At 43.5% G+C, this 15,907-nt stretch overlaps 1 long non-coding RNA gene across 2 annotated transcripts in view; it reads right to left on the bottom strand.

The window, feature by feature from the left end:
* The window catches only part of LOC107986092 (uncharacterized), a 51,164-nt gene that overhangs the window by 1,931 nt on the left and 33,326 nt on the right, over nucleotides 1–15,907 (bottom strand). The window contains exons 1-3 of one of the 2 annotated variants that reach the window (XR_001740719.3): nucleotides 11,110–11,455; nucleotides 10,853–10,980; nucleotides 10,368–10,511 (exon numbers count right to left, since the gene is read on the bottom strand). This is a non-coding gene — a long non-coding RNA (uncharacterized LOC107986092). Of the gene's footprint in view, nucleotides 1–10,367; nucleotides 10,512–10,852; nucleotides 10,981–11,109; nucleotides 11,456–15,907 lie in introns of those variants that run through there. The other variant, XR_007095933.1, reaches the window with a different exon arrangement.

Here is a 15,907-nt window from a genome sequence, read left to right as displayed (position 1 = left end):
TTATACACAGTAATAAACAGGAAAGTAATAACTTTAAATATCATTAAATACTTAAGTAATAACGAGGAAGAAACAGCATCCCCATTTTGACTGAATTTTTTTTTTCGGTATAATTTTGTTACTGGGTTATAACGTCTATATAGAAATATGCACAGAGCAAAAACAGCTCAATGAATTTTCACAAAGTAAACATACCCTTGTAACCAACATGCAGATAAAGACAAAGAACAGCACCAGTACTCCAGGAGCCCCTCATATCCTGTCTTGGCTAATCTTTCCATTACTTTCTTTATTTTGTTTTCTTTTCTCCTCTTCCTCATTCTTCCTCTTTGAGATATAATTTGCAAGCCATACAATGTGTTCATTGTAAATATAGTTTGATGATTTCTTCTAAATTTATGCAATTGTGCAAACATCACCACCATTCACTTATTTGTTTGTTTGTTTTTTGAGATGGAGTTTCGCTCTTGTTGCCCAGGCTGGAGTGCAATGTCATGTTCTCGGCTCACTGTAACCTCTGATTCCTGGGTTCAAGGGATTCTCCTGCCTCAGCCTCCTGAGTAGCTGGAATTACAGGTACCCACCACCATGCCTGGCTAATTTTTGTATTTTTAGTAGAGACAGGGCTTCACCATGTTGGCCAGGCTGGTCTCGAACTCATGACCTCAGATTATCCACCTGCCTCAGCCTCCTAAAGTGCTGGGATGACAGGCATGAGCCAACATGACTGACCACTATTCAGTTTTAGAATTCTTCCTTTGCTCCAAAAACTTCTCTTGTTCAAAGTCAGTCCCTTTTGATGGTCAATCCTTATTCCCATCCTCAGCCCCCCACAACCATTGATCTGCTTTCTGTCCCTAGAGTTTAGAGCTTTGCCTTTACCAAAATTTTTAAATAAGTGGAAGCATACAACAGGAGACAATAATAGTCTTTTGTGTTATAACTGGTTTTTGTTTTTGTTTTGAGACGGAATTTCGCTCTGTCACCCAGGCTGGAGTGCAGTGGCACAATCTCGGCTCACTGCAACTTCCACCTCGGGGGTTCAAGCGATTCTTCTGCATCAGCCTCCCGAGTAGCTGGGAGTACAGGCGCATGCCACCATGCCTGGCTAATTTTTCTATTTTTAGTAGAGACGGGGTTTCACCATATTGGCCAGGCTAGTCTTGAACTCCTGACCTCGTGATCTGCCTGCCTCAGCCATAACTGGCTTTTTAACCATAAAACATATAAATATGAACATTGCCAGATTAGAGTTTTCCAAAGGTGGCACATGAAACAACTTTAGTTCCTCAACAAAATACTAGCAAACAGAATTCAACAACACATTAAAAAGATTATTCACCATAATCAAAGGGGATTCACCCCAGGGATGCAAGGATGGTTCAGCATATGCAAATCAATAAACATGATACATACATCATCAGAATCAAGGACAAAAACCATATTAGCATTTCCATAGATGCTGAAAAAAACAGACAAAAGTCAATATTCCTTCATGATAAAAACCCTCAACAAATTGGGTATAGAAGGAACATACCTTAACGCAATAAAGGGCATATATGACAAGCCTACAGCTGAACAGGGAAAAATTAAAAGCCTTTCCACTAAGATTTGGAAAAAGACAAGGATGCCCACTTTCGCCACTTTTATTCAACATAGTACTAGAAGGTAGAGAAATACGTCAAGGACATTCAAATTGAAAAGGAAAAAGTCAGATAATCCTTGTTTGCAAATAACATGATCTTATATTTACAAAAGCCTAAAGACTCCATGAAAAAAACCCTTAGAACTGATCAATGAATTTAGTAAAGTTGCAGAATACAAAATCAACATGCAAAAATCAGTAATGCTTCTATATGCTAACAGTGATCAATCTAAAAAGAAATCAAGAAAGCAATTTTATTTATAATAGCTACAAAAAAATAAAATACCTAGGGGTAAATTTAACCAAAGAAACAGGGCCAGGCATGGCAGCTCATGCCTATAGTCACAGCACTTTGGGAGGCCAAGGTGGGCATATTGCTTGTGTTCAGGAGTTTGAGACCAGCCTGAGCAACATGGTGAAACTCCATCTCTACAAAAAGTACAAAAAATTAGCTAGGCATGGTGGCATGCACCTGAAGTCCCAGCTACTTGGGAGGCTGAGATAGGAGGATCACCTGTGCCCAGGAGGTTGAGGTTGCAGTGAGTCATGATCACACCACTGCACTCCAGCCTGGGCACTGGAATGAAACCCTGTCTCAAAAGAAAAAGGAAGATCTGTACAAAGAAAACTATAAAACAGTGATGAAAGCAATTTAAGAGGACACAAACAATGGAAAGATATCCCATGTTCATGGATTGGAAAAATTAATATTATTAAAATGTCTATACTACCCAAAGTGATCTACAGATTCAATGCAATGTCTATCAAAATAACGACATTCTTCACAGAATTAGAAAAAAGAATCCTGGCTGGGCACAGTGGCTCAAGCCTATAATCCCAACACTTTGGGAGGCCGAGGTGAGAGGATCACTTGAGTTCAGGAGTTCAAGACCAGCCTGACCAACATGGAAAAACCCTGTCTCTACTAAAAATACAAAATTAGCCAGGTGTGGTGGCACATGCCTGTAATCCCAGCTACTCAGAAGGCTGAGGCAGGAGAATTGCTTGAACCTGGGAGGCAGAGGTTGTGGTGAGCTGAGATCGTGCCATTGCACTTCAGCCAGGGCAACAAGAACAAAACTCCATCTCAAAAAAAAAAAAAAAAAAAGAAAGAAAGAAAGAAAAAAGAATCCTAAAAGAATGTGGAACCACAAAATACCCCACATAGCTAAAGCAATTATAAGCAAAAAGAACAAAGTTGGAAGCATCACACTACTTGATTTCAAATTATACTACAAAGCTATAGTAACCAAAACAGCATTCCACTGGCATAAAAACAGACACATAGACCAATGGAACAAAATCAAGAACCCAGAAATAAATCCATGCATTTACAGCCAATTGATTTCCACAAAGGCACCAAGAACATACATTGGGGAAAGGGCTGTCTATAATAAATGGTGCTGCGAAAACTGGACATCCGTATGCAGAAAAATAAAACTAGATCCCCATCTTTCACCATACACAAAAATCAACTCAAAATGGATTAAAGACTTAAATGTAAGGCCTACAACTCTGAAACTACTAGAAGGAAACATTGGGGAAACACTACAGGACAGTGGTCTGAACAAAGATTTTTTGAGTAAGACCTCAAAAGCACAGGCAACAAAAGCAAAAAATTAACAAAGTGAAGAGACAACCTTCAGAATGGGAGAAAATATTTGCAAAATATTTGGATATTTGACCCTCAAAAGCCTCATGTTGAAATTGACCCCAGTGTTGCAGGTGGAGCCTAATTGGAAGGTCCACTTCCAATGGGTTATAGGGGCAGATCCCTGATGAATGGCTTGGTGTTGACCTCACAGTAAGGAGTGTGCGCTCTATTAGCTCCTGTGGGAGCTGATTGTTTAGAAAGAGCCTGGCACCTGCCTCCCTTCTCTCTTACTTCCTCTCTCTGGCAATGCCAGCTCCCTTTTGCCTTCTGCCATGAGTAGAAGCAGCCTGAAGACCTCACCAGAAACATGCTGGTGCCACACTTCTTGTATAGCCTGCAGAACCGTGAGCCAAAGAAACCTCTTTTCTTTATAAACAACCCAGCTTCAGGTATTCCTTTATAGGAACACTACACAGACTGAAACACTGTCTGTATTAGTTCATTTTCACGCTGCTGATAAAGACATACCCGAAACTGGGAACAAAAAAGACTTAGTTGGACTTACACTTCCACATGGCTGGGGAGGCCTCAGAATCATGGCAGGAGGTGAAAAGTTCTTCTTACATGGCAGCAGCAAGAGAAAATGAGGAAGAAGCAAAGGCAGACACCCCTTATAAACCCATCAGATCTTGTGAGACTTATCCACAATCACAAGAATAGCATGGGACCCAGGAGGAGGTAATCATTACCTCCTGTCCCCAGGTAATGATTACCTCCTCCTGGGTCCCTCCCACAACATGTGAGAATTCTGGAGATACAATCCAAGTTGACATTTGGGTAGGGACACAGTCAAACCATTCACCATCCAACAAGGGATTAATAACCAGAATATATAAGGAACTCAAACAACTCAATAGCAAAACAAACAAACAAATAATCCAATAAAAATGGGCAAAATATATGAATAGACATTTCTCAAAAGAAGACATACAAATGGCCAATAGGCACATGAGAAAATGCTCAACATCACTAATCATCAGGGATATGCAAATTAAAATCACAATAAAATATGACCTCACCCCAATTAAAATGTCTGTTATCAAAAAAACAAAAAAATAACAAATGCTGGCAAGGATGTGGGAAAGGGGGAACAGTTGTATACTGTTGGTGGGAAAGTAAATTAGTACAGCCACTGTGGAGAACAGTATGGAAGTTCCTCAAAAAACTAAAAATAGAACTACCATATGATCTAGCAATCCCACTGCAGTGTATATACCCAAAAGAAAGGAAATCAGTATGTCAGAGATATCTGCACTCCTATGTTTGTTGCAGCACTATTTACAACAGCCAAGATATGGAATCAACCTGTGTGTCCATCGATGGATGAATGGATAAAGAAAATATGGTATACATACACAATGAAATATTCTTCAGCTATAAAGAAGAATGAAATCCTGTCATTTGCAGCATCATGGATGGAACTGGAGGAGGTCATTATGTTCATATAAGCCAGGCACAGAAAGACAAATACCACATATTCTTATTCATATGTGGGAGCTAAAAACGTGGATCTCATGGAGGTGGAGAGTAGAATGGTGGTTACCAGAGGCTGGGAAGGTAGGGGGGATGAAGAGAGGTTGATTAATGGTTACAAAAATACAGTTAGATGGAAGGAATACATTCTAGTATTTGATAGTGCAGTAGGGAAATTATAGTTAACAATAATTTATTGGCTGGGTACAGTGGCTCATGCCTGTAATCCCAGCACTTTGGGAGGCCAAGGCGGGTGGATCACCTGAGGTCAGGAGTTCAAGACCAGCCTGACCAACATGGAGAAACCCCATCTCTACTAAAAATACAAAAATTAGCCACCGTTGTGGCACATGCCTGTAATTACAGCTACTCAGGAGGCTGAGGCAGGAGAATCGGTTGAACCCGGGAGGCGGAGGTTGCAGTGAGCCGAGATCGTGCCATTGCACTCTAGCCTGGGCAACAAGAGCAAAAAAAAAAAAAAAAAAAAAAAAAAAAAAAAAAAACTCTGTATCAGGAAACTATTTACAGGCCAGGCGCAGTGGCTCATGTCTGTAATCCCAGTACTTTGGGAGGCCAAGGCTGGCGGATCACCTGAGGTCGGGAGTTCAAGACCAGCCTGACCAACATTGAGAAACCCCATTTCTACTAAAAATACAAAACTAGCTGGGCGTGGTGGCATATGCCTGTAATCTCAGCTACTCGGGAGGCTGAGACAGGAGAATCTCTTGAACCCAGAAGGTGGAGGTTGCAGTGAGCCGAGATGGTGCCATTGCACTCCAGCCTGGGCAACAAGAGCAAAAACTCTGTCTCAAAAAAAAAAAAAAAAAACACACACACAATAATTTATTGTGTATCTCAAAATAGCTGGAAGAGAAGAATTACAATGTTTCCAACACAAGGAAAAGTTAAGTGCTTGAGGTGATGGATACCCCAATTACCCTAATTTGATCATTCCACATTGTATACATGTACCAAAATATCATATGTAGCCCCAGAATATATACAACCATTACACATCATGTTTAAGAAAGAAAGAATTGGCCAGGTGCGGTGGCTCACGCCTGTAATCCCAGCACTTTGGGAGGCCGAGACAGACAGATCACCTGAGGTCGGGAGTTTGAGACCACCCTGACCAACATGGAGAAACCCCCTCTCTACTAAAAATACAAAATTAGCCAGGCATGGTTGCACATGCCTGTAATCCCAGCTACTCGGGAGGCTGAGGCAGGAGAATCGCTTGAACCAGGGAGGCAGAGGTTGCAGTGAGCCGAGATCGTGCCATTGCACTCCAGCCTGGGCAACAAGAGCAAAAAAAAAAAAAGAAAGGAAGAATTTTGTGTGTATAGATAACCATTTGCTATCTTAATTGTGTATTTTTAATTAGATACATGAAAATAACTAGCACATCATGGCAATGATGTCACAAATACTATTGCTTAGATCTGGGCTAAGTTTAAAAATTAATCAATTTAAAGAAACATTAGGCCCAGCACGATAGCTCACGCCTGTAATCCCAGCACTTTGGGAGGCTGAGGCGGATGGATCACGAGGTCAGGAGTTCAAGACCAGCCTAGTCAAGACGGTGAAATCCTGTCACTACTAAAAGTACAAAAGTTAGCCAGGCATGGTGGCAGGCGCCTGTAATCCCAGCTACTCGAGAGGCTGAGGCAGGAGAACCGCTTGAACCCAGGAGGTGGAGGTTGCAGTGAGCCGAGATTGCACCACTGCATTCCAGCCTGGGTGACAGAGCGAGACTCCGTCACAAAAACCAAAACAAAACAAACAAACAAAAAAGAAACATTAATAATAACACAAGATAACATAGATAACAAAAAAAATATAAAGATATGTGCAAAGGATTGAAGCCAGTAAAATAGTAGCTTAGATTAATAGAGAGAAATAGTTTCTGTGAGCCCTGAAATTCTGCATATCCATCAATATTTAGCCTTTAAAAAATAATAACAAGAGCCGGGCGCAGTGGCTCACACCTGTAATCCCAGCATTTTGAGAGGCTGAAGCGGGTGAATCACTTGAGGTCAGGAGTTCGAGATCAGCCTGGCCAACAAGGTAAAACGCCATCTCTACTAAAAATACAAAAATTAGCTGGGTGTGGTGGCACATCCCTCTAATCCCAGCACTTGGGAGGCTGAGGCAGGAGAATCGCTTGAACCCAGGAGGCGGAGGTTGCAGTGAGCCGAGATCGTACCACAGCACTCCAGCCTGGGTGACACAGCAAGACTACTTCTCAAAAAAAAAGAAAAAAAATTATGTTCATGGCCATTGAGGTGTTTTATTCATCATTTCAACACTTTTTTTATTGTGTGCCTTCTATGTGCTAGATGCTAGATAAATGTTCATTTAGAGATTCTACTCAAACTGCTTTTTGTATTTACATTTAAAATATTCTTAAAAGGAATTCGATGATTCAAATTAAGTCAGAAAATGTCTATGGAGGTTTAGGAGCATAAGAAGGTGCTGTGCTGTCCCTTCCCCACTCCCATGCAATGAAGGGGGTGCAGGGGTGTGCAGGATAGAGCCCTGACCCTCAGAGAGTTCACGATGAGGTTGGAGAGAAAACATAGCAATAAAATGAGAAATGGCAGCAAAACAGGAAAGATCAATCCCCAGGAGATGCAGTGACACACAGTAGTGCATGGTTATGTGTTTGCATACAGCAGCTGTCACAAAGGCTTTGGGCTGACAAGAAGATTCAGAATTCAGGACGGGGAGTGAAAGTGTGTATGGATGATGAGGGATTTGGCTCAAGGAAGGGTAGAATTTAGACAGGCAAAGAAGAAAGCGATGGTTCCAGCAAAATCAGAAGCAGAACAGAGAAAAGCATATGCTAGGGTCAATGAGCTGACCTATGGACTAGTGCAGAGTTGAAAAGGGTGAAGAGTTGGCCACAGGTCAGAAGGGCTGATTCCAATGTTGACTACCCACAAACAGCTATGACCAGGACTCATGAAAAACAAGAGATGTAGTCAGAATGTTTAGGCTGCCTCAATCAATCATTTGTGGAATCTCTACAGAATAGATAGGTGGGTTGGTGGGTGGGTGGATGTATGGATGGATGGATAGATGGATGGTTGGATAGATGGATGGACGAATGGATGGATGAAGGAATGCAGGAAGGGAGATTGTGCATATGTAGCCCACATCCATCCCTGCCTGTGTATGTAAGACCTAAAATTAAAGTTCAATATTATGTGCTGTCTTGACACCTGGTAAAATGAAAGGGCCTCAAATGGCCTAACAAACAAGTCCTCTTCCCCACTATGTTCCTGTAGATATGGTCCCCTGGCCAAATAACCTTCCTTATTTAAGGGACAAGGCACAGTTCCTGCTTATCACTGAGTAGGAGGTTTCACTTCCTGCCAGCCCACAGAATTATTCCAAAAGCCAATCACTTCCTCCTGTAGGGACTAAAGAGCACTTCACCCTCTTAAAACTACAAAGCCTGCCTCCCAGAGCCCCTGATTGTTTACTCTGTTCCTGGGTGCAACCTCCATATGGTCCTGTGTCCCCCTCCCCTGGGCTGTGAGTATATGTGATGAGTAAGCTGTCTCAATCTCACCTGGCCAGTGTAGTGTTCGGTCACCCCCATAACCCTAGCTAGGAATCCCTCCCTCACTAATGGGATGAAGAGGAGGCAATCAAAATAATCCTCTCCATTTTTCTTTGCTGATAGAACCTGGATTTTGTTCAAGGGGCCATCCCCCACAACATGACTTAGAAAATGGTCGCTTCATCCCTAGCTCAGAGATAAATCCTAATTGGTTTTATTCCTTCTTAGTGGTACCATCAGACTCTAGCATGTGACCCAGTTCTGCCCATTAAAACCCGAGGATATATCTGATGGGAGGTTTCTGGGAAGGAATTCCTGACTCCTGAGAAGGGGACACTGAAATAAAGGCCCCTGTTCTATCTCTGTATGTTGCTATGTCTAAACACCATGTGTTCACCTGCAGCTCCAGTTACCTTGTGGCCATGAGCATATGCAGCCTACTCTAGAGGAAACTGGAAAACAGATGGAAAAGCCTGGGTCAGGCTGGGAGCAGTGGCTCACACCTGTAATCCCAGCGCTTTGGGAGGCTGAGGCGGGAGGGTCTCAGGCCCAGGAGTTCAAGACTGAGTCTCAATTGCCACCATTGAGCCAGTGAATCAACCTTCACACCTTTGAATAATGTCTTTTCTTACTGTTTATGCCAGTTTGGGTCAGTATTTTCTCTTCCTTGCAACTACAAACATCTTACTGATACATCAGCTTTTAGCTGTATTGGTAAACATGAATTCCTAAATCCATCCAAAGGGATGGCATTCTTAAAGAGTTTTCAGGAGGACCTCAAGTTTAAAGTTCAAATTGATGATGAGGTTGATTTAATTATCAGAGAAAGGAATTAGCCATTGAGTGCCTACTGCCTACATTCACAATATCCCTAAAGTTGGTTGCATTATTGCCCCTGTTTTATGGAGGAGGAAACAGAAGCTCAGGGAGGTATGTGACCAGCTCAGGTCACATGAACAGCAAGCATCAGAGCTGGAGTTTAAAACCCAGGTCTATCTGTCTTGTCAGATCCCTGCAGGGGGTTTCACCCTGAGTGGATTAGACTGGGAACTAACTGGGAAGGCAAAATGAAGGAAGAGTTGAAGGAATATCAATAGGCAAATTTTTTTTTAAGCAAAACTAGAAGGACTTCTTCTATTTTTTAGAGAAAACAACGCTACCAGCAACCTCTCACTTTTTCTGGCACATCTAAACCAGACACAAAAGTATGTGAAAATGCAAAATCACGTGTCAGATGTACAATCCATCAGTCACCAAGTATTTATGGAGCTCATAGCATGAGCCTGGCAGCCACCATAGCTGCTGGGCGCTGTGTTTTCTAGTCCCACTGAGAGAGGGGCCAGACTATAGTACAAACTCCAGGACAAGATGAGAATAATCATAAAAATGTAGTTTAAAGATCCCCTCACAGGCAGGGTGCGGTGCCTCCCGTCTGTAATCCCAGCACTTTGGGAGGTTCAGGTGGCAGATCACTTGAGGTCAGGAGTTTGAGACCAGCCTGGCCAACATGGTGAAACCCCATCTCTAGTAAAAATACAAAAACTAGCCGGGCATGGTGGCGCATGCCTGTAGACCCAGCTACTTGGGAGGCTGAGGCAGGAGAATTGCTTGAACCTGGGAGGCAGAGGTTGCAGTGAGCTGAGATCCCGCCACTCCACTCTAGCCAGCCTGGGTGACAGAGTAAGACTCTGCCTCCAAAAAAAAAAAAAAATCCTCTCTCAGGATTATAGGTTCAGCATTTTTTAAGTATCTAAGATACAGCTGAGCACTGATTATAAATAAGTTGTTGGACTCTAGAGTCAGGAAAACTGGTATTAAAACCTCTTCTACCACTGCAGTATGACCTTGAGCAAGCTTCTTATATCACTGAGCCTTAGTTTTCTGATCTGTGAAATGGAAATAATAATAGTACTCAGTTCAAAAGGCTACTGTGCCAGGTCCAGTTTGTATCTAACAGATGTTAGAAAATATTACTTTTTATCCGTTTATTATTCCTTTTGAAAAAGTAGATGTCTGTAATCTCCCACCTGGAAACACAGAGCTGGCTGTGGGCCTGGATCATGCTATAGGGTGTTAATCCACATGGTTGGGTCTTCTTGTATTTTCCTTTCTCTCTTTCTCCCAATTCAGAAGGGAGCTGACTCTGGGAATACCGTCCAGAGTCTGGAAGCCTGTGGAAGGTACAACCAGCCATTACGGTAACTTCAGAAAGGGCCCCAGAATGGCAGGAAAGCAGCAGAGGACCCTGAAGCAAAAGGGGCCACTTAGCAAGACCAACAGATCCCTTGACCAACTATGTGGACCAATGACACAGAGCCAGATTCATTTCCCTCCCTAATCATGGCCTTACTTCAGCCCCAAGGATGGTGGGCAACTCAGTGAATACGTGTTGCTGGGGAAGTGGGTATGTGCCCGGCAAAGACCATGGTTAGAGGTTTTATACCAGTCTGGCACAGCAAAGACCTGAACCCAGAGTCAAGTTCTAGAAAAGAAAGCTTTATTTTTTGTCTACCTGAGTTGTGGCCCGAAATTCCTACCAGCCATAGCTGGTGTGAAGAATTTCCAGTTGCTTGTTCCAAGGAGACCACAGTGGATACAAAGGTCCGCAAATCTCAACCAAGAGCAGGAAAGAAGGTAAACCTACAGGCGAGACCACAGGTCCATCATCAGGAGGAGGGCGCGCAGGCAGTGACTGGCCAGAGGCCTTTGGTGTGGGCTTGGGCACCAACGAGGAAGCAAATGAGGGAATGAAGGAACAAATAAACTCACCTGGCAGAAAACTGCCACTGTTCACAGTCTTTCACACCCAATTCTTATTAAATCCAGAGATTTGGGTTTGCAGCTAGGGTTTAGCAATTAAAACTGTTATGTTGCAACACCTTTCCGGTTTGAAGTGGTAAAGGCATAAGGCCTGCAAATTTGTGGATTTGATTTGACACCACAGCCTTCTGTGCAAACATCTGACTCACTCTGCACACACCCAGTGGGGAAGAAGCCAGCTCAGGTTTCATTCTTAACCCCCAAACCCTGCTGTGAATGTCAGTTCTTTCCCAGAAGCAAACTGAACAAAGCAAATCTCTTTAAATCAGTGCTGACAACCTAAACCCAAGTTTATGAAGGTTCAGGCCACAGAGGAGGCCCTGTGCACCAGGGTTGCACTGTGAGGGGTGAGGGGCTCTGACTCAAATGAGCCGGAACCTAGGCTTCACTATTTTCATCACCTTAACATTTACATTCCGACAGCCTGGGGAAATGGATCTTTGAGATGACAGAACATTAACCTTTGCTATATCAAAGTCTGGGCCGTCTCCCAGTGCCTAACAAAAAAATGGTACTCCTTATCTTCATTCTAGCCTCCAGTCTGTTGGAAAGGTCAAAACAGGGGAGGGGCATGGACAGCAGCGAAGTCTCAGGAAATCTTAGTGCTCACAGGGCCTGTAGCTACCCTCCAAGTCCACCCTGGCATTTTCTGCATGAGTAAACTCAGGCTTAGGAAAGGTTAGGGAACCTCTGCAATTCCCAGCGCTGGGTGGTCCATGAGCTGCGGCTGAGATCCATGCTACCTGCTCTGGTCTTTTCATTCACTGTAATGAACACATGCTGGTTACTACCAAGGAACTTCTGTCTGTGGTTGTATGGGTCATGGTGGACAGTGCAGGCCCAACCTCCCCTATGGAAGTCGAGGAGGCCCCAGATCCCCTCTCCCCACCTCCTGAGAGCAGAGATGTGATCCACACCCTGCCATCAGGACACTCCACCTGCAACGTCTGTGGGAGATCAGAATACGACCCCCTAAATACGCCTCTTTGTTATAAGCACTGTTGAGCTGAAGGCAATTGAGAAGATGCAGATGCAGGAAAGCTCTCTGCCCTTCCTCTACTTGCCTAAAAGCAGGACATAGATTACGAAGACAAAAGGTATCCGTACCCCCTCCTACCAAAGAGGACAAAGGTTGGGGCTGGGCGTGGTAGCTCACGCCAGTAATCCTAGCACTTTGGGAGGCCGAGGCGGGTGGATCACCTGAGGTCAGGATTTCAAGACCAGCCTGGCCAACATGGTGAAACCCTGTCTCAACAAAAAATAAAAAAATTAGCTGGGCATGGTGGCAGACACCTGTAATCCCAGCTACTTGGGAGGCTGAGACAGGAGGATCACTTGAGGCAGAAGTTGCAGTGAGCTGAGATCGTGCCACTGCACTCCAACCTGGGCAACAGAGCGAGACTCCGTCCCAAAAAAAAAAGGAGGACAAAGGCTAACCACTGAAGACAACTTGAGACCTTCATGGGCCCCTGGAGATGACGCCAGAGGAATCGACATGAACAAGCTTCACTCACTGGCCTTTATCTGCCAATTACTTGCCTTCCCACAAGTTACTGCCCCTGGAGACTCAAGTTCTTTTCCCGTCTTGTCACTTCTCTAAACATTCACTGTTCTTTGTTGGAGATGCTATATAAGCTGGAATTCCTGGAGAACGACTCATTCCCTGGGTATCCCCCATGTATATATGTTGCTGGAAAAGAGGGTCCTGATCCAGACCCCAAGAACAGGTTCTTGGATCTAATGCAGAAAAGAATTCAAGGCAGGCCGGGCGTGGTGGCTCACGCCTGTAATCCCAGCACTGGGATGCCAAGGTGGGCGGATCACCTGAGGTCGGGAGTTCAAGACAGCCTGACCAACATGGAGAAACCCCGTCTCTACTAAAAATACAAAATTAGCCAGGCGTGGTTGCACATGCCTGTAATCCCAGCTACTCGGGAGGCTGAGGCAGGAGAATCGCTTGAACCTGGGAGGCAGAGGTTGCGGTGAGCCAAGATCGCACCATTGCACTCCAGCCTGGGCAACAAGAGCGAAACTCCATCTCAAAAAAAAAAAAAAAAAAAATTTCAAGGAGAGCCACAGACCACAGTGAAAGAAGCAAGTTTATTGGAAACCACCCTGTTACAGAGTCAAGTAGAGCATCCTCAGAAAGCAGGAGGAGGAACATGCCATCCTTGGTTAGCATCTCTACTTATAAGAAACTATAAGGAGCTATAATTAAACTTGAAATGTGCAGATGTGCTCGCTAAAGGTAGTGGCTATTAGTATTGTCAATGACCATTAATCCTTCAATCGAAGCCTGCTCATTATCATTATCTTTAAGTACATTCGCTCCGTGCTTAGGACATCTGGACATTCTGCAGGCTTAGTGGGAGCTGCTCTGTAGGGCCATAAATATTCTGTAATTATAATTGGTGGTCAGCTTAGAGTGTGGCTATTTTCAGGTCCTAAATATTAACCTTTTAAGTGTCTTATGAGTGCCCAGTTACTCACTTCAAGAGGGAGTCATTCTGGTCATGTGTTATTAAACCAGAGGCCTGGTAAGCAGGGGTTCCTCTAACATATATAAAATACATACATTAATAAACTCCTGTTTGCTTTGCTTTTCTCTTGTTAATCTCTTTTGTTACAGGGGTCTTTTCCAACTAAGAACTTAGGAAAGTTGAGGAAAAATTTTTTTTTCCCAACATGCCCAAACTGCCCATGACCGCCACGTTGGTCCTGCCCCAGGAACAGACTACTGTGACCAGAGCCATGTATTCTTTGTTTTTTTTTTTCTTTTGAGACGGAGTTTGGCTGTTGTTGCCCAGGCTGGAGTGCAGTGATGCAATCTCAGCTCATTGCAACCTCCGTTTCCTGGGTTCAAGCAAGTCTCCTGTCTCAGCCTCCTGAGTAGCTGGGATTATAGGCATGCACCACCATGCCTGGCTAATTTTGTATTTTTAGTAGAGATAGGGTTTCACCATGTTTGTCAGGCTGGTCTCAAACTTCTGACCTCAGATGATCCACCTGCCTCGGCCTCCCGAAGTGCTAGGGTTACAGGGGTGAGCCACCACGCCCGGCCCCAGAGCCAGGTATTCTAATGATAAATTTGCCAGGTGACCAGTTCACCTGTTGACTAATTTGCATAATGAACAGTTTGCCTTGAATTCAGACCTCTTTTGAGAGTTTTTGCATTTATTCAGCTGCCCTATTCTTTTTTATTTTTTTAGTCACATTTTAGGCATTTTTAACGATTTAAAAAATTAACTTCCTCTAAGGGGCTTTTCCCCTGCTAAATCTCATATTTCTGATTATTTATGAAATGTATATTCTAAGCAATGAAATTGCTATTTATTGTGTGGGAGTCTTTTGATAATATATCAACCTTCAGACAAACTGTAAGATACTTTTTTGTAAGTTTACATAAAGACTCTTTCTTCAAAGTTGTATGTTTACAGCAAGAGACCCTTACTGAGTCTGATGTTCAAGATATTAAATTCAGAAAATTATCCTAGATTTTAAACATTAAATGAGTGCTCTTGGTGAGCAACTGAGCTGACTTTCATGGTGGCATGAGACACCAGCACAGCTCTTAGCAGCTAACCATAATTAATGTCTGATAATGAATAAGAATATACTAGGCCAAGTGTGTGATACCGGGTTCATATTCCATTTCAGTCCATAAATAAGTATTGTGTGTGACTATATTTATAATAAAAGCAGGCCAGACGCAGTGGTTCACGCCTATAATCCCAGCATTTTGGGAGGACAAAGCAGGCGGATCACTTGAGGTCAGGAGTTCGAGACCAGCCTGGCCAACATGGTGAAACCCCGTCTCTACTAAAAATACAAAAATTAGCTGGTCATGGCGGCACGCGCCTATAGTCCTACCTACTCAGGAGGCTGAAGCAGGATGATCACTTGAACCCAGGAGGCGGAGGTTGCAGTGAGCTGAGATCCTGCCATTGCACCCCAGCCTGGGTGACAGAGTGAGACTCAATCTCAACAAAAAATATATATATAATAAAAATTAAAACAACTAACATTTTTTAAAGGCTGGCCACGTGCTGAAGACTGGGCTGAGCTGTGTACTCCTGTTTTCTCTGTTTGTGGTGCTTCCTGAGAGCAGGGCCTTGTCTTTCCTCCCCAGCATATTCTCAGCTGGCTCATAGTAGATGCTCTATATTTTCAGAATAACTGAGTGACCTTGTTGGCTGGTACTGTTGTTATCTATCACCTCAAGTGTGTAAGTGAGGAAATTCAGGTTTAGGAGTTGTTACTTGCCCAAGAACAAGAGAAAGGGCAGCATGACCCTGGAGCCTGCATTCCTAACGCAGGTGAGTGTGACCTCACCCTTGTGCTCTAACAAGTAAAGCCCTAGAGGGAAGCAGGGGAGGATGATAGATGGATTAAAACATTATTTTAATGTGAGGCTCAGAGTTGGGGGACTGAGGGTGGGTGTGTAGGTACAGCGATCCATCCGTGGGATGGTTCTGAAATGGCTCTCTATGAACCCTAAATGCCTTTATTATTGGGAATGTGAGAGTAGAACATTCCAGAATGAGCGAGCCTTGGGACAGAGAACAAGCTAGGGACAGAGGCCAAGAGTACAACAGGTGGCCTGTTCAACATGTTGTAGCTTTCCAACAAAAGGTTAGCCTTGACCTCTCTTTTTTGCTTCATCTGACACATACAAATTATTTTATTTTATTTTATTTTATTTTATTTATTTATTTTTGAGACAGAATCTCACTCTGTCTCCCAGGCT

The sequence above is a fragment of the Homo sapiens genome, chromosome 3 (assembly GCF_000001405.40).
Source record: "Homo sapiens chromosome 3, GRCh38.p14 Primary Assembly".
NCBI classification, from domain to species: domain Eukaryota; kingdom Metazoa; phylum Chordata; class Mammalia; order Primates; family Hominidae; genus Homo; species Homo sapiens.
This window is presented reverse-complemented; position numbering and strand designations above follow the sequence as displayed.